General features: G+C 48.7%; 1 protein-coding gene and 1 pseudogene across 4 annotated transcripts in view, besides 3 other annotated features; one reads left to right on the top strand and one right to left on the bottom strand.

The window, feature by feature from the left end:
- The window catches only part of ANKRD11 (ankyrin repeat domain containing 11), a 222,932-nt gene that overhangs the window by 15,409 nt on the left and 188,776 nt on the right, over window positions 1-18,747 (top strand). The window lies entirely within an intron of this gene.
- Window positions 11,390-12,378: an enhancer, noted in NCBI's record as "NANOG-H3K27ac-H3K4me1 hESC enhancer chr16:89529183-89530171 (GRCh37/hg19 assembly coordinates)". NCBI's record gives its function as "activates a minimal SCP1, AML or CMV promoter by ChIP-STARR-seq in naive H9 embryonic stem cells {active_cell/tissue: H9 hESC(naive)}" and the evidence as "EXISTENCE:reporter gene assay evidence [ECO:0000049][PMID:30033119]".
- CMPK1P2 (CMPK1 pseudogene 2) lies at window positions 15,716-16,362 on the bottom strand (annotated as a pseudogene).
- Window positions 15,807-16,306: an enhancer, noted in NCBI's record as "H3K4me1 hESC enhancer chr16:89525255-89525754 (GRCh37/hg19 assembly coordinates)". NCBI's record gives its function as "activates a minimal SCP1, AML or CMV promoter by ChIP-STARR-seq in primed H9 embryonic stem cells {active_cell/tissue: H9 hESC(primed)}" and the evidence as "EXISTENCE:reporter gene assay evidence [ECO:0000049][PMID:30033119]".
- Window positions 16,307-16,808: an enhancer, noted in NCBI's record as "H3K4me1 hESC enhancer chr16:89524753-89525254 (GRCh37/hg19 assembly coordinates)". NCBI's record gives its function as "activates a minimal SCP1, AML or CMV promoter by ChIP-STARR-seq in primed H9 embryonic stem cells {active_cell/tissue: H9 hESC(primed)}" and the evidence as "EXISTENCE:reporter gene assay evidence [ECO:0000049][PMID:30033119]".

Raw genomic sequence — 18,747 nt, 5'->3', positions numbered from 1 at the left:
AGCTCCCCAGCCTTTCTCTGCCCGTCACAGTCAAGAGGGTCTGTTGGAAAATTACTGACTGAACAACAGATGCCAGAGATTGCCCTGAATTGTGGAAGTCCCGGCTGCCACCCCCTTACTTGAGGTCCTCATCTCACTGCACCAGCAGGGGTGAGGAGAGGGCAGGGGTGGCCCTGCACAAAGCTGGGGAAGAAAGGAGGCAGCTCCCGGCCAGGCAGGGCCCAGCTTTCCTTCTAGATCATCAGCACAAATTTGCGTTTGAAGATTTAACTTACATTTTATTTTTTTATTTGGATGATACATGTGTAAGTTTTGGGATGTTATGCAGTGTTCTGAGGATTGACGTTGGTGGCATATGTAACCTTGAAGGCAGCATTTTGTTAATTATAAAAAACTTGGAATATAGTGATTGAGTATGAAATAATTGAAGCTGTGAGTTCAGTTATGAAGAACTTGGTCTCGGAGTCTCTCTGAGCTTGGGAGGCTGCCTTGGTCTCAGTGGGGTTGGCATCATGTGTGTTGGTGGTAGGTTGGAAAGAGCATTTGGAGTTCTGAAGAGTGACCTGTGCTGCCTTTCTGGCAACCAGTCATTATTTGTGCATGGAAGGAAGTAGCATGGATGAAAGCTTTTCTTTCAAATGGGATGATGTGTGGGGGTATATTTCTGGTCTTAAATTTTTTTTTTTTTTTTTACATAAGGTAGAGACAGGGTCTCACCATGTTGCCCAGGCTGGTCTCAAGGTCCTGGGCTCAGTCATTCCTTCCACCTTGGCCTCCCATAGTGCTGGGATTACAGGCATGAGTCACCATGCCAGGCCAGTGTATTTATTTTCTACTGCTGTGTAACAAATTGACACACAACACATTTATTATCTCACAGTTTCTGTGGGTTGGAAGTCTGGGCACAGCTTAGTGGGATCCTCTGCTCAGGGTTTCATCCGGTTGCAATCTAGGTGTTGGGTGGGACTGTGATCTTATCAGAGGCTCGAGTGGGGGATGGTGTGCTTTTGAGCTCTTTCAGGTTGTGGCAGAAGTTATCTCTTGCTGATTGTGGGACGCAAGTCTTTGTTTTCTTGTTGACTGTCCCTTGAGGTCTCCTCTTGACTCTTAGAGGCCCCCTGTACTTGCTTGGCGCATGGCCCCTTGCAGCTTGGCAGCTCACTTCAAAACAGCAAAGAGTCTTCTGCTTCAGTAGACTAAGTCTTACGTAACATAATGTAGTCATGGGAGTGACAGCGCAGCAACTTTGCCACCTAATGCAACCCAGTCAAGGGAAAGCCATTCCATTGTTTTCACCACATTCTGTGGGTTAGAAGCACGTCACAGGTCCCACCCGCCTTGCACTCCGGGCAAGGTGGCTACAAGGAGGCATGGACACTGGGTGGGGAGATTGCCAGGCTCACCTAGGGTCTGTCTGCTGGCCTGGGGTGTTCTTCAGAACCCTCATTCCCTGGATACTGACATGTCAGTCTCTGGGAATTGGTTGCATCTCTCTCTCCTCCATGACGTATCAGTCTGTGGGAGAGCGGTGCGTCTCTTCTCTCTCCTCCATTTGCATGCATTCCCGGACCCACTTGTAGAACGGAAGTAGAATCAAGACTCGTGGCCACAGTTTGGGTGGATGGGACACTTGGGCTTGCCCTGGTACTATCAGGCTGTTTGCCCTATGCCTTGCATTTCCCACTGTCCTGCCTGCCTCTCAGGCTTATGGTGAGGATGAGGTGAGATGAGATGATGGATGTGGTCAGTGAAGCAGCTGGTCAGGGCCTGGTGGAATTCTACTCTAGTCCAGTCTGCCTCTTTCTCCACCTCTATTCTCTAGGCAGAGATTGGTTATTTTCAGTAGTAAGTATGGACTCATCAGAGTTCTTGAGGTCTTTGCTTCCTGCCTCAAATTCCCTTCTCTCCTTTCCCTGACTGATGCCTACTCATCCTTCAGGCCTCCATGTTCCCAATGATCCTTTTTTTTTTTTGAGGCAGGGTCTTGCTTTCTTGCCTCGGCTGGAGGGCAGTGGTGTGATCCTGACTTATTGCAGCCTTGACCTCCTGGGCTCAAGCCAAGCTGTCCTGGGTAGCTGGGACCACAGGTGTGTACCACCACACCTGGCTAATGTTTGTACTTTTTGTAGAGTCGGGGTCTCACTGTGTTGCCCAGGCTGGTCTCCCAACTTCTGGGCTCAAGTGATCCTCCTGCCTCAGCCTCCCACAGTGCTGGGATCACAGACATGAGCCACTATGTCTGGCCCCCAGTGAGCCTCTTGATCTCATGGTTGAGCTCTTTTTTCACTTGTGACTTCTGCCATTGGTTAGATTCTCACCTTTGGTCTTGCGGTGCTCTCTGCTCCCCTCTGTGGTAATAATTTATTGTTGTGTTGTAATTATCTTTTACTTCCTTTCCACTAAGTGATATTCATTGGATCCTCAAATAAAAGGCTTGGCACACTTAGGGCAGATACCTAATAAAACAGTAACACCTCTGTGGTCAGTATTTAAACGGTGTGCACAGCCATTAGAATGGAATAAGCTGGGCGCAGTGGAATGGGAGGTTGATGTTGCAGTGACACATGAATGTGCCACTGCCCTCCAGCCTGGGGGACAGAGCAAGAGCTCATCTCAAATAAATCAATAAATGGGTCAGAGGAGTGTGATGTGCTGGTGACTCGGGTCCTGCTCTGCCGCCGGAGCTTTTCCAGCCTTGCTGCTCCTTTGCTTTGGATCTTTTCATTCCTAGGTTTATTGTTGAGTCTGAGACGGTTTTTTTTCTCCCTTCCCCTTCCCCTTAGTAAATGTGCAGATCTCCTGATATTGCACCTGACTTAGAGATCTTGGTACCGTCCCTACAGATCCACACAAACACAAAAGCACAGGTGATACTCAGGTTGGAACATGAAGATGCAAAGTCAGCATCCCCATTTGCCTCTCACTTTTCTGTCTTCCTTAGCTGTGTCCTGCGAGTGTTTATTGGGCAGTGTTGACAGCAGCTTCAGTCTCAGAAAAAGGATGGGAAGTTGCTCTCAGACTCGGAACCCTAAAGCTTGGTCGGAATTAGGTTTCTGCCCTGATCCTGATGCTCTTTCTGCCCGGTGGAGAGCACCTTTAAAAGTAGTCACCTGAGGGTCAAGGATGGGTACAACAGCTTCCCATTTTATTCTAGGAGATGTGTCTGGAGATAAAATGAGCATGTGATGTTTGGCAGGGCTGCATGCCTCGAGGGTCATAGCCATTGTCCCTGATGTTCAGGACCTGGTAACTGGGGGAGTAAGGACTTAAGGTACATGTTTTCCTGTTTCCTCTTTGCTGTGAGTTGTATGTGAGTTGATTTGGGTGGTAAATGAAATCATATCTTTTTTTTTTTTTTTTTTTTTTTTTTGAGACAGAGTCTCACTGTCGCCCAGGCTGGAGTGCAGTGGCATCATCTCAGCTCACTGCAACCTCTGCCTCCTGAGTTCAAGCAACTCTCCTTCCTCATCCTCCCAAGTAGCTGGGATTACAGGTGTCCGCCACCACGCCCGGATAATTTTTGTATTTTTAGTAGAGAGGAGGTTTCATCATGTGGGCCAAGCTGGTCCTGACCTCAGGTGATCTGCCCACCTCTACCTCCCAGAGTGCTGGGATTATAGGCGTGAGGCACCACACCTGGTCATGAAATCATATCTTAAGTGTCTCCATGGTGGCCTAATTTGTTACCTGAAGCTTTTTCTCAGAGCAGCCTCTAGCAAAGAGAATCACTTCCTGTGGACTCCTTCAGGGCTGCAGGGTAACTTGATGAGTTCTTGCCGTCTCGTGAATTCCTGAGTGGTGAGAGCACCACTCCACACAGGACTTCGGGGCAGCAGGCTTTTAGGTTTTGCACACAGTTCCTCGAAAGCTGTGATTTGGAAATCGCTAGAATTTCCAGATAGTAACTAGTTTGGAGGGTCAATAGTGCTTTAGTTTTATTTATTTATTTTTTTTTACTTTTAAAACAGAGGTGGGGTCTCACTCTGCTGTCAGGCTGATCTCCAGCTTCTGAGCTCAAATGATCCTCCTGCCTTGGCCTCCCAGAGTGCTGGGATTACAGGAGTGAGCCACTGCGCCCAGCCTCAGTCATGCTTTTAAATTGAGGATGTAGGAAGGAAGGCTTTGGCTCCCATGCTTTCATGAGATTTCCTTTTTTTTCTGAGACAGAGTCTCGCTCTGTCGCCCAGGCTGGAGTGCAGTGGCATGATCTCAGCTCACTGCAAGCTCCGCCTCCCAGGTTCACACCACTCTCCTGCCTCAGCCTCCCGAGTAACTGGGACTACAAATGTCCGCCACCGTGCCCAGCTAATTTTTTTTTGTATTTTTTAGTAGAGACGGGGTTTCACCGTGTTAGCCAGGATAGTCTTGATCTCCTGACCTTGTGATCCACCCGCCTGGTACTACCAAAGTGCTGGGATTACAGGCATGAGCCACCGCGCCCGGCCACGCCCGGCTAATTTTTTGTATTTTTAGTAGAGACTGGGTTTCGCCATGTTAGCCAGGATGGTCTCGATCTCCTGACCTTGTGATCTACCTGCCTTTGCCTCCCAAAGTGCTGGGATTAGAGGCGTGAGCCATCGCACCTGGCTGCTTTCATGAGATTTCTTAGAGACTAATACTTTAGTATTTACCCTCCTTTCTCAGTCTATGGTGTTAACCAGTATTCCCTACCTACGTTTAGTCTGTACACAAAACACCCATGGCTGCCTCTCCTCAGACTGACCTGCGTTGACCTGGACCTGGATAAGCTCCTCACTGTCATCTGAGGGGTGTGTTTCCCCTTGTGTGCCTGTCCTAATAGTGCATCCCATTTCAGCGCTTTTTCTACAGGGCAGGATTTGTAGAAAGGGTTTGAATCTTAGTGATAAGCTATGACCATGAGTAAGTTACTTCATTTTTCCTCGCTTTTGGTTTTCTTGTAAGAATTGGGATTATAGGCCGGTGACATTATAGGCATGGTGACTCACGCCTGTAATCCCAGCGCTTTGGGAGGCCGGGGCAGGCAGATCACAAGTTCAGGACACGGAGACCATCCTGGCTAACACGGTGAAACCCCGTCTCTACTAAAAATACAAAAAAATTAGCCGGGCGTGGTGGCGGGCGCCTGTAGTCCCAGCTACTCGAGAGGCTGAGGTAGGAGAGTGGCGTGAACCCGGGAAGTGGAGGTTGCAATGAGCCGAGATCGCACCACTGCGCTCCAGCCTGAGCGACAGAGTGAGCTCCGTCAAAAACAAAAGAAAAGGAAAAAGTACAACTGACTTTGTTTTTCTGAAACGGAGCCTCACTCTGTCTCCGGGCGCGATCTTGGCTCCCTGCAACTGCCGCTCCCGGGTTCACGCCATTCTCCTGCCTCAGCCTCCCGAGTAGCTGGGACTACAGGCGCCCGCCACCACGCCCAGCTATTTTTTTTGCATTTTTAGTAGAGACGGGGTTTCACCGTGTTAGCCAGGATGGTCTCCATCTCCTGACCTCGTGATCCGCCCGCCTCAGCCTCCCAAAGTGCTGGAATTACAGGTGTGAGCCACCGCGCCTGGCCTACTTTTTCCTTTCTTATTTGCGTACGTTTTATCTCCTTTCTCTTGGACTAGAATCTCCAGTACGGTGTTCAAAAGAAGTGATGAGTGGAGATCAACCAGGTGCGGTGGCTCACGCCTGTAATTCTAGCACTTCGGGAGGCCAAGGTGGGTGGATCACCTGAGGTTAGGAGTTTGACACCATCCTGGGCAACACAGTGAAACCCTATCTTTACTGAAATGCAAAAAAATTAGCTGGACGTGGCAGTGTTTGCCTCTATTCCCAGCTGCTCAGGAGGCAGAGGCTGGAGAATCTCTTGAACCTGGGAGGCAGAGGTTGCAGTGAGCCAAGATTGCGCTACAGCACTCTAGCCTGGGCGACAGAGTGAGACTCCATCTCAAAAGAAAAAAAAGAGTGGATATCACAGGCTTATTTCTTTTTTTTCCTCTTTTTTTTTTTGAAACAGAGCCTCGCCCTGTGGCCCAAGCTGAAGTGCAGTGCAGTGGTGGCTCACTGCAGGCTCTGACACAGGCTTATTTCTGATGGTAATTGAAAAGTGTCCACTTTTTCACCATTAACCATGATGTTTGCTGTGGGATTTCATAAAGGCACTTTATGAGGTTGAGGAAGTTCCCTTCTATTACAAGTTTGCTAAGTATCAGGAATGGACATTGAATTTTATAGTTTTCTTTTACATTTATTTATCATTTGGTTTTGTTTTTTGAACGTTTAACCAATCATGTATTCCTGGGTTAAACCCACTTGGTGACAGTGTATCATTCTTCCTGTAGGATACATTGGCTGGCAGGGTGTCAGCTGAGCCCTGTACGTTTCAACATCCAGCAGGCTGGCCATTGGGGCTGCCAAGAACAGTAGGGCAGCAGAAGCAGGGGCCACATGGCTTCACTTTTGCTTCGTCCTTCTTTTTTTTTGAGATAGCGTCTTACTCTGTTGCCCAGGCTGGAGTGCAGTGGCGCGATCTCGGCTCACTGCAACCTCTGCCTCCCAGGTTCCCAAGCAATTCTCCAGCCTCAGCCTCCTGAGTAGCTAACATTACAGGCCTGTGCCACCGCGCTCGGCTAATTTTTGTATTTTTAGTAGAGACAGGATTTCGACATGTTGGCCAGGCCAGTCTTAAACTTCTGGCCTCAAGTGATCCACCTGTCTCAGCCTCCCAAAGTCCTGGGATTACAAGTGTGAGCCATTGCACCTGGCCAACTTTTGCTTCATTCTGTTGGTAACAGCAAATCGGTGAGTGAGACTGGGTTCAAGGGGTGCAAAATAGACTTTCCCCCCGACCTCATGATTGGAGGAGCTGCACTCACGTTGCAGGTGTGGGTGAGAAGGTGATAGAGTCTGTGCCATGTGGCATAGCTACTACAACAACTTAAACCCAAATCCTCTTAGTTTTGCTGTAGTCATCCAAATAATTGTTTAGATTTCTGCTTTGGTTTTCCTTTTCAAGTTAACACTAAGTTAATAGACCCTTCTTTCCAAGTTCATGATTACAGTGTCATAAAGTGATAAAGACTGCAGTCTGGGCGTGGTGGCTCACACCTGTAATCCCAGCACTTTGGGAGGCCGAGGTGGGCAGATCACTTGAGGCCAGGAGTTCAAGACCAGCCTGGCCAACATAACCAAACCCCGTCTCTACTAAAAATACAAAAAAACTTACCTGGGTATGGTGGTGCGCATCTGTAGTCCCAGCTACTCGGGAGGCTGAGGCAAGAGAAACACTTGAACCCGGGAGGCAGAGGTTGCAGTGAGCTGAGATCACGCCACTCCACTTGAGCCCGGGCAACAGAGCGAGACATTGTCTCAACAAACAAACAAAACAAAACACTGTGGGTAGCAAGTCACCCAGTCGTCTTATCTGATTTTTAAAAACATATGCAGTATGTCTTACGGTATCTTGATTAGATTCACAACAGCATTTGGGATCAGCTGTGCAGTGCATCCTGCGTGTTGAAGAGTGATACAGGGTCAGATGCAACGCCTGTAGTCTCAGCACTTTGAGAGGCCAAGGCGGGGGATCACTTGAGACCAGGAGCTCAAGACCAGCCTGGGCAGCATAGCAAGACCCCGTCTCTACAAAAATAAAAATAAAACTTAGCTGGGTGTGATAGCGTGTGCCTGTAGTCCCAGCTACTTGGGAGGCTGAGGCTGGATGGCCACTTGAGCCCAGGGTTTCTTTTTAGAGACAAGGTCTTACTCTGTGGTCCAGGCTGGAGTGCAGTGTTGCCATCACAGCTCACTGCAGCCTCAACTTCCTGGGCTCAGGCAGTTTTCCCACCTCAGCCTCTCAAATAGCTGAGACTACAGGTGCGTGCCACCATACCCAGCCAGCTAATCTTTCTGTTTTTTTTTTTTGTAGAGATGGGGTTTAGCCATGTTGCCCTGGCCCATCTCAAACTCCTGGGCTCAAGCGATCCACCTGCTGTGGCCTCCCCAGGTTCTGGGATTATAGACATGAGCCGCCGCTCCTGGCCTGATTGCAGCTTGTGGGTTTGGCAACTTTGGTCAATAAAAGATTATGTGGTCTTTTTCTCCCTGCGCCTTCTCACTCCTGGCACAGAGTTCCTGCAACCATTGGAATTTCTTATATGATAGGATGTCATTTGTTATTCATAACTAGCTCCTTTCAGATCACACCAGAGTTTAAGCTAATGAACTGACAGGGTAGGGGTGGTCACCAGGAAGACCAGATGATTATTAGAGGGCTAGGGCTTTCATCTCCGGCCACTGACCTCCAGGGAAGGGAGCAGGAGCTGAAGATGGAGCTCTAAAAACTCTCGAACATGCCCGAGTTGCGGGAGGGCCCCTGCCGCCCACACTTGGCTCTTTGCATCTTTTGTTTGCTGCTACCGAGTTGTCTTTTTTATATTTTCCATGTCGAACATGTGGAATACAGTTCAACAGCTTTTAATGTCTTTGTCTACTAATTTTAACACCTGTTTCAATTCTATGTTGGTTTATTTCTTTTAACCTCATTATGGTTTGTATTTGTGTTTTTTTGAGCACTAATCGTCGTTTTCTGAGGCTTGTATTTTTTCCTTCTTTGCCTAGTGATTTTGTTGGATGCCAGGCATTAGGAATTTTACCCCGTTGGGTGATGACTTTCTTTTGAAAAATGAACGAGATCTGGTTCACAGAATACAAAATTTACCATTTACAGCTCACAGTTTAGTGATTTTTAGTATATTCATTATATTGTGCACCCATCACCACTGTCACATTCCAGCAAGTTTCCATCCTCATGCGGTCCCCTGTGTCATCAGTCCTTGTCCCCCTTCCCCCTTTCCCTGACAACTGGTACTCTCTTTTCTATCTCTCTGGATTTGCCTATTGTGAATGTTTCCCATAAATGAGAATTAAGTCTTTTGGGTTTTAGATAAATAAGATCATCATTTCTTCTTCAGAGAATTGAACTGTCAGCAGGTGGGGGCTCGTTGCTTGTAGGGGGTGGGCTGCATGCGCTCTGGTGTTTACCTGGTGTGCCTGAGCCCACGGCCAGTGCAGCAGGTTCTGCCAGCATCTTTTTCTGGGCAGCTTGTTGAGTTTATGACACAATCTCCTTTTACTGGTCCCTGTTGTGATTGGCACCCTGACCTTTTAGAAAGTGTGATGGTGGCCAGGCGCGGTGGCTCACGCCTGTAATTCCAGCACTTTGGGAGGCCGAGGCGGGCAGATCATGAGGTCAGGAGATCAAGACCATCCTGGCTAACACGGTGAAACCCCATCTCTACTAAAAATACAAAAAATTAGCCGGGCATGGTGGCGGGCGCCTGCAGTCCCAGCTACTCGGGAGGCTGAGGCAGGAGAATGGCGTGAACTCAGGAGGTGGAGCTTGCAGTTAGCTGAGATCGTGTCACTGCACTCCAGCCTGGGCGACAGAGCGAGACTCCGACTCCGTCTCAAAAAATAACAAAAACAAGAAAGTGTGATGGTGGCTGTGGAGCAGAGGAGTCTTCTTTAGCTCGTCCACGTGACGTGCAGGAGTACATGGGAGTCGTGTGCTGGTGGACACACAGAAGCGACTTTTTCCTTTGTCTCATGGTGGAATGCTGGAGGAGCAAGTGTTCCCACCTGCTGAGCAGCTGAAAGCAGGCTTTCCGCGGATGTGTGCGGGCGGGCGGTGTGGCACAGAAAGGCCTCGATGGACTGTCTGCTCTTCACGGCAAGAGTGTGCTGCCCCTGTTCTCTGTCGTGGCCTCTGCTGTAAAGATGAGAGAAGTCCAACGCCAGTCTAATTCATGATTCTTTTTTAGTTAAGCTTTTTAGGATTTTGTGGAAACTTGTAGGATTTTCTGTTGATATGTGGGAGTCTGACATTTTGCTATTTTTAGGGTTTAGATTGTGACTTTTTTATATTGGTTAGCATCTTGAAGCTCTTTTAATATGCAGACTTGTCTTTTTAACTCCATCTCAGTTTTTCTGTCAAGGGCCAGTTAGACCTTGTGGCCGCATGTTCTCTGACAGCTCTTCAGCTCTGCTGTTGTATCATGGAAGGAACCGGGGCCACACTTAAAACGAGCCTGGCTGTTTTCCAGTTACAACTATTACTAACACTGAAATTAGAATTTCATATAATTTTCACTTACCACAAAATGTTATTTTCTTTTTCAACCAGGTATAAATATAAACCTCATTCTTAGCCTGTGGACTGTCTAAAAAAGACATTGGGCCAGATTCGGCCCCTGACCCCCAGGTGGTTTCCCCATCATAGTAATCATAGTAGATGAACTTGGAACTGTGTAGCTTTATTGGTTTTTCATCCTTGAAGCTTGCTTTTCCTCTGCAGTGGTCCTGACTTTCTGTAGAGTTTGATCTCTGCGGCTTCTTCCTTCTGTAGAGTTTGGTCTCTGTTTTCTCTAAACTTAAGTTATTTGTCTGATTTCATTTACTTTCTGTTAATTTAGGTGCTTAATTCTGGTCAACTATTGACATGTCATTCTTCTGTTTTCCAGTGCTGTTACAGATTTATTCTTTTCTTTTTTTCTTTTTCTTTTCTTTTCTTTTTTTTTTTTTTTTAAGATGGAGTCTCACTCTGTCGCCCAGGCTGGAGTGCAGTGTTGCGATCTTGGCTCACTACAGCCTCCACCTCCCAGGTTCAAGCGATTCTCGTGCCTCAGCCTCCTGAGTAGCTGGGATTACAGGTGTCTGACCCCACGCCCAGCTAATTTTTTGTATTTTTAGTAGAGATGAGGTTTCACCATGTTGGCCTGGCTGGTCTTGAACTCCTGACCTCGTGATCTGCCTGCCTCGGCCTCCCAAAGTGCTGGGATTACAGGCGTGAGCCACCACGCTCTGCCAGATTTATTCTTTTCAAAATGTTTGTTACTTTAAGAAATTTTAGATAAGAGGGTTAGATTCCACCATTGTGATCTTTTTTTTTCTTTTGAGATGGAGTCTCGTTCTGTCACCCAGGCTGGAGTGCAGTGGTGCGATCTTCGCTCGCTACAGCCTCCACCTCCCAGGTTCAAGTGATTCTCGTGTCTCAGCCTCCCGAGTAGCTGGGACTACAGGCGCCCGCCACCATGCCTGATTAATTTTTGTATTTTTAGTAGAGACGGGGTTTCACCATGTTGGCCAGGCTGGTCTTTAACTCCTGACCTCAAGTGATCCGCCCACCTCACCCTCCCAAAATGTTGGGATTACAGGTGTGAACCACTGTGCCTGGCGTTAGCGTTGTGGTCTAATAGTACTACAGTACTATTGTTTTTTGTAAATAGAATTGCAGTCTGAACAGGAAGAACTTCCACCATAGGTGTTTTGAAGAAGTTAATTTTTTGCATAAGTAGAAAGCCATGGGAGCATTAAACTTAACAGTCTATTGCTTGTGTGGTAACGTAGGGAATTAATTTTGAATTAAATGTGAACTAGACAATTTGCTGTGGAATACTACGTTGAAATTATTGAAAAACACTTATCCAGTGTGAGGCTTTTTTTTTTTTTAATTTATTTATTTTTTATTGATAATTCTTGGGTGTTTCTCATAGAGGGGGATTTGGCAGGGTCATAGGACAATAGTGGAGGGAAGGTCAGCAAATAAACAAGTGAACAAAGGTCTCTGGTTTTCCTAGGCAGAGGACCCTGCGGCCTTCCGCAGTGTTTGTGTCCCTGGGTACTTGAGATTAGGGAGTGGTGATGACTCTTAACGAGTATGCTGCCTTCAACCGTCTGTTTAACAAAGCACATCTTGCACCGCCCTTAATCCATTTAACCCTGAGTGGACACAGCACATGTTTCAGAGAGCACAGGGTTGGGGGCAAGGTCACAGATCAACAGGATCCCAAGGCAGAAGTTTTCTTAGTACAGAACAAAATGAAAAGTCTCCCATGTCTACTTCTTTCTACACAGACACGGCAACCATCCGATTTCTCAATCTTTTCCCCACCTTTCCCCGCTTTCTATTCCACAAAACCGCCACTGTCATCATGGCCCGTTCTCAATGAGCTGTTGGGCACACCTCCCAGACGGGGTGGTGGCCGGGCAGAGGGGCTCCTCACTTCCCAGTAGGGGCGGCCGGGCAGAGGCGCCCCTCACCTCCCGGGCGGGGCGGCTGGCCGGGCGGGGGGGCTGACCCCCCCACCTCCCTCCCGGATGGGGCGGCTGGCCTGGCGGGGGGCTGACCCCCCCACCTCCCTCCCGGACGGGGCGGCTGGCCTGGCGGGGGGGCTGACCCCCCCCACCTCCACCTCCCTCCCGGACGGGGCAGCTGGGCGGGGGGCTGACCCCCTCACCTCCCTCCCGGATGGGGCGGCTGCTGGGCGGAGACGCTCCTCACTTCCCAGACGGGGTGGCTGCCGGGCGGAGGGGCTCCTCACTTCTCAGACGGGGTGGTTGCCGGGCAGAGGGTCTTCTCACTTGTCAGACGGGGTGGCCGGGCAGAGGTGCTCCTCACATCCCAGACGGGGCGGCGGGGCAGAGGCGCTCCCCACATCTCAGACGATGGGCGGCCGGGCAGAGACGCTCCTCACTTCCTAGATGTGATGGCGGCCGGGAAGAGGTGCTCCTCACTTCCTAAGTGGGATGGCGGCTGGGCGGAGACGCTCCTCACTTTCCAGACTGGGCAGCCAGGCAGAGGGGCTCCTCACATCCCAGATGATGGGCGGCCAGGCAGAGACGCTCCTCACTTCCCAGACGGGGTGGCGGCCGGGCAGAGGTTGCAGTCTCGGCACTTTGGGAGGCCAAGGCAGGCGGCTGGGAGGTGGAGGTTGTAGCGAGCCGAGATCATGCCACTGCACTCCAGCCTGGGCACCATTGAGCACTGAGTGAACGAGACTCCGTCTGCAATCCCGGCACCTCGGGAGGCCGAGGCTGGCGGATCACTTGCGGTTAGGGGCTGGAGACCGGCCTGGCCAACACAGCGAAACCCCGTCTCCACCAAAACCAGTCAGGCGTGGCGGCGTGAGCCTGCAATCGCAGGCACTCGGCAGGCTGAGTCAGGAGAATCAGGCAGGGGGGTTGCAGTGAGCCGAGATGGCAGCAGTACAGTCCAGCTTCGACTCAGCATGAGAGGGAGACCGTGGAAAGAGAGGGAGAGGGAGACCATGGGGAGAGGGAGAGGGAGAGAGGGAGAGGGAGAGGGGGAGAGGGAGAGGGGGAGGGAGAGGGAGCGTGACGCTTTTTTTAAATGAAGCTCGTGACAGACGGAAGTATACCAGTGATTAAGAAGATGCTGGGATGGGCTTTTTCAATAGATGCTCTGCAGGTTTCCAAAATGAGTGCCAGAGGAGGGGAGAGGGCAGTGTCAGAGTCTTCTGAACATTCTGAGAGCTGAGCTGCTGTGAGACAGGCTTAAATGAGAACCCTAGTTTTCAAAACTTAATGTTTTAATGGGAATGACCATAGTTATTAGTGTTAAAAGATACATTTCTTCTTATTTATTTAGAAGATGAAGTTCAGAGAATTTAGGTAGCCTAAATAAGATGGCATAGTTAGTAATTCTATGAGCTTTTCCTTGTTTAGTAAATCGGTATTAAAATGGAATTATTAAGTGGGGTGTGGTGGCTCACGCCTGTAGTCTCAGCACTTTCGGAGGCCGAGGGAAGCAGATAACGTGAGCACAGGCGTTTGAGACCAGCCTGGGCAAATGAAGATACCCTGTTTCTACAAAAAATACAAAAGTTAGCCAGGCGTGGTGGCAGGTGCCTGTGGTCCCAGCTCCTCAGGAGGCTGAGGGGAAGGATTCCCTGAGCCCAGCAGTATAAAATTGACCATTTGTACCATTTTTGAGTGTGCAGTTCTCTGGTATTAGATTCACACGGTGCAAAGCCATCACCACCATCCCTCTCCAGAACTTGGTCTTCCCAGACGACACCGGCTACCCATTAACACTAACTCTTCATCCCTCTCCCCATAACCTCGACTCTCCCCATAACCCCTGACCACCAATCTGCTTTCTCTTATGAATGTCACCACTCAAGGCACCTCTCCTATAAGGGGGGGGGGGGGGTCATACGATATTTGTCCTTTCTTCTCTTATGAATGTCACCACTCAAGGTGCGTCTCCTATGGGAGGGGGTCATACGATATTTGTCCTTTCTTCTCTTATGAATGTCACCACTCAAGGTGCGTCTCCTGCGGGGGGGTGGTCATACGATATTTGTCCTTTCTTCTGTTATGAATGTCACCACTCAAGGTGCGTCTCCTGTTGGGGGGGGGGGTCATACGATATTTGTCCTTTCTTCTCTTATGAATGTCACTGTCCAAGGCACCTCTCCTGTAAGGGGTGGGGGGTCATACAATATTTGTCCTTTCGTGACTGGCATATTTCCCTTTTGGATCAGTTTGTTCCTGTGGGTCAGAATCTTCATTTGAACAGTTTGCCCCACAGCTCAGATTCCTCAATTGTGACTACCCCCTGCAGGTCAAATTCAATTTTTGTTTACTTATTTTTGAGACAGAGTCTTGCTGTCTTGCTCGGGCTGGAGTGCAGTGGTGTGATCGTGGATCACTATAGCCTCGACCTCCTGGGCTCAAACAACCCGCCTGCTTCAACCTTCCATAGTGCTGAGATTACATGCGTGAGCTGCTGTGCCCAGTGTCAAATTTAATTTTTGTTTTGTTTTGTTTTTGAGACAGAATCTCGCTCTGTCACCAAGGCTGGAGTGCAATGGCACTATCTTGGCTCACTGCATCCCCCACCTCCCAAGTTCAAGCAATTTTCCTGCTTCAGCCTCCTGAGTAGCTGGGATTACAGGCACCTGGCACCACGCCCGGCTAATTTTTTGTATTTTTAGTGGAGACGGGGTTTTGCCATATTGGCCAGGCTGGTCTTGAACTCCTGACCTCAGGACATTTATAGGATACACTTATTATTTTTATGACCAAAGCATGTGATTTTTATTTTTTAATTTTAATTTTATTTTTTAATGTTTTTTGTTCTTGTTGTTTTTGAGACGGTGTCTTAGTCTGTTGCCCAGGCTGGAGTGCAGTGGCGCAATCTCAGCTCACTGCAATCTCGGCCTCCCAGGTTCAAATGATTCTCCTGCCTCAGCCTCCCGAGTAGCTGGGATTACAGGCGCACACCACCACGCCCAGCTAATTCTTTTGTATTTTTAGTAGAGACGGAGTTTCACCATGTTGGGTAGGCTGGTCTCAAACTCCGGACCTCAAATGATCCACCTACCTCAGCCTCTCAAAGTGCTGGGATTACAGGTGTGAGCCACCGCACCTGGCCTTTTTTTTTTCTTTTTTTTTGGATACAGGGTCTTGCTTGGTCACCCAGGATGGAGTGCAGTGACACGAAATTGGCTCACTGCAATCTCGACTTCCTGGGCTCAAGCGATCCTCCAGGCTCAGCCTCCTGAATAGCTGGGACTGCAGGCACGACCACCATGCCCAGCTACTTTTTTATTGTTTGTAGACATGGGGCTGGTCTCAGACGCCTCAAGAAATCCTCTTGCCTAGGCTTCCCAGTGTGCTGGGATTACAAGCATGGGCCACTGTTCCTGAATTTTATTTTTTTAAACCTTTTTATAGAACACGATCAGTTGTTTGATAAATACTGAAACAGTACTAGGAATCAGTTTTTTAGTTGTTTACCAAACATATTATGCAGGAACTGAATTCACAAAAAGTTGTTTTGAAATTTGGTCCACAAATTCACTTAAGGTTGGAAATAAAAAACTTGTAAGAGGCCGGGTGTCGTGGCTCAAAAAGAAAGGAAAGGATACTTTCAGGCTTAGAGTTAGTCTTTTTTGTTGGAAATTTTCACAACTTCAGAAAAACTTCATCAACAGGTTTAGAAGCATCCGTTTTATTGACTTTCCCGATTTCTTCGTATGAGTCAGTAATTGTTTTTGTTAACTTGAAGATGGGTCTGAATTCTCTTTTCCAAGCTCTCTCTGCTGGCTTCACTCTTACCACTGTTCCCTCCTCTCAAGACATCCTTTCATGTAGATCTCATTATTATGGTCAGAAAACAGAACCAGATGCACATCTGCCTTTCCCATCCATGCTCTTGGCCCAACCTTGAAGGTTGTCTTGATTTCTTAGAAACTCATCAAGAATTTATTCTTAGCATTGGCAGCCATTGTCTGATCCATTTCCCATGTGAATAAATGCATGTATGGTTATTTCATCTAGCACAGTCTTCCCTTGTTTAGTATAGTTTTTGAAGAGTTCACCACTGTGAATCTGGGTTCTTTCATCACAGAGAAGTTTTCCTGAAGACAGGTGTATGTGACCAGGGTCACGACGGTGTGGGTTTGCTGCGTCCCCTTGCCAGTGCCAGGACCCCTGAGGAACCACAGGACCAGTGGGCAGCTTCATGAGGCCGGGGCCGCAGAGGAGATGCAGGCAGCCAGTCAGCAGCAGGAAGCTGAGGCCTAGGGCACGCAGTGGCCAGCAGCAGGCTGGCTCCCTCTTTGGGAGGTTAAATCAAGTTTTGGTTACCAAAGGCAAAGCAGGCTTGGATTTTGTTTAAGGAGATGCTGTTGAATGAAACAGCTTCTTTGTAGCAAGCAGCCTTGGAGATGATTAATGGAACATGTCTGAACTTGCCAGAGTGATGTTCAGCCTTCCAGTGGAACTGCAAAATCATGAGTGAAAGCGTGGCAAAGTATTTTCTTTAATGTAAAATGTTATTCCTAAGAAATGAAATTACGTGGCCGGGCACGGTGGCTCACGCCTGTAATCCCAGCACTTTGGGAGGCCGAGATGGGCGGATCACGAGGTCAGGAGATCGAGACCATCCTGGCTAACATGGTGAAACCCCGTCTCTACTAAAAATACAAAAAATTAGCCGGGCGTGGTGGCGGGCGCCTGTAGTCCCAGCTACTCAGGAGGCTGAGGCAGGAGAATGGCCTGAACCCGGGAGGCGGAGCTTGCAGTGAGCGGAGATCGCGCCACTGCACTCCAACCTGGGTGACACAGTGAGATTCCGTCTCAAAAAAAAAAAAGAAATGAAATTACGTAAAGCAAGTGCTAAAGTACAACAAGAACAGGAGTTTATGTTTTGAAGAAAATTGGTTGAGTTTTATTTTGGTTAAACCTCTAAAGCACCGTTTCAGAAAGCTTTTTTTTTTCTTTTTGTGTCACTGCTTTCCTGGGGCCACCGCACAGCAGAGGTGTCTGAGAACAGAGTTGCAGGTGGATGGCTGCGGTCTCCAGTCCCCAGGTGTGGGGTCTCCAGGGCTCTGGCCAGAACATCTTTCTTTGGGAGCAAGTCATTGCGAGGTGCCGTCTCAGCTGGGGTCTGGGTCTGAATCTGACGATTGTGTATTGGTTCGCGTGGCTCCATTCAGCTCCACACTTGTGTGTTTCACATGTACCTGGATTTCTTCAGTGATGTTTATACCTGTATACTTTATATAATAAAAGCAGCCATTTTAGAAGGTACAGTAGGATGAGTTTGACAGTTTTGATACCCCAGGTATTAAGCACCAGCTTGACACAGACATTTCCATCACCGCAGAATGCCCATTTGTAACCAGAACCCTCCACTGCCCCAAGCACTGCCAGCCCACTTTCTGTTATTGTGGATTAGTTTTGCTTATTTTAGAATTTCATATGAATGGAATTTGTAGTCTTTTTTTTTTTTTTTCTTGAGACGGAGCCTTGCTGGAGTGCAGTGGCGCGATCTCAGCTCACTGCAGCCTCCGCCTCCCGGGTTCAAGTGATTCTTCTGCCCTAGCCTCCCGAGTAGCTGGGATTACGGGTGCCCACCACCACGCCTGGCTAATTTTTGTATTTTCAAGTAGAGACAGGGTTTTACCATATTGACTGGGCTGGTCTTGAACTCCTGACCGCATGATCTGCCCACCTCATCCTCCCAAAGTGCTGAGATTACAGGCGTGAGCCACTGCGCCTGGCCTGGAATTTGTAGTCTTTTGAGTCTGACATACTACTTTAATTTTATTGAGGTAAGACTCGGCCGGGCGCGGTGGCTCACGCCTGTAATCCCAGCACTTTGGGAGGCCGAGGCGGGCGGATCACGAGGTCAGGAGATCGAGACCATCCCGGCTAAAACGGTGAAACCCCGTCTCTACTAAAAATACAAAAAATTAGCCGGGCGTAGTGGCGGGCGCCTGTAGTCCCAGCTACTTGGGAGGCTGAGGCAGGAGAATGGCGTGAACCCGGGAGGCGGAGCTTGCAGTGAGCCGAGATTGCGCCACTGCACTCCAGCCTGGGCGACAGAGCGAGACTCCGTCTCAAAAAAAAAAAAAAAAAAAAGACTCACATAACGAACACCCCACCACTCTGACCATTTGAATGTGTACAATTCCATGGCCTGTAGCACATTTACAACTTTGTGCAACTAGCACCATTATGTCTATTCCAGGATATTTCTGTTCCCCCCGAAGGAAGCGCTCCACTTCTCCGCAGCTCTTCAGCCACTGTTGACTCTGTGCCACTGTGGATCTGTCTATTTTGGAGACTTCCTAGGAATGAGTTCATATAATATATGGCCTTTAGTGTCCGGCTTCTTTCACATAACGTGTTTTTGGAGTCCATCTATGTTGTATGTCTTGGAACTGTATTCCTGTTTACTTGTGAATAATGCTGCATTGTCTGGGTGTAGGCAGGGTGTTTACCCATCCTGTCTTGATTGACACTTGGCTTGTTTCCATCTTTTTTTTTTTTTTTTGAAACGGAGTCTTGCTCTGTCACCCAGCCTGGAGTGGCGTGATCTCGGCTTGCTGCAACCTCCGCCTCCCGGGTTCAAGTGATTCTCCTGCCTCAGCCTCCCGAGTAGCTGGCATTACTGGCACATGCCACCACGCT

The sequence above is a fragment of the Homo sapiens genome, chromosome 16, assembly GCF_000001405.40.
Source record: "Homo sapiens chromosome 16, GRCh38.p14 Primary Assembly".
NCBI lineage: Eukaryota > Metazoa > Chordata > Mammalia > Primates > Hominidae > Homo > Homo sapiens.
This window is presented reverse-complemented; position numbering and strand designations above follow the sequence as displayed.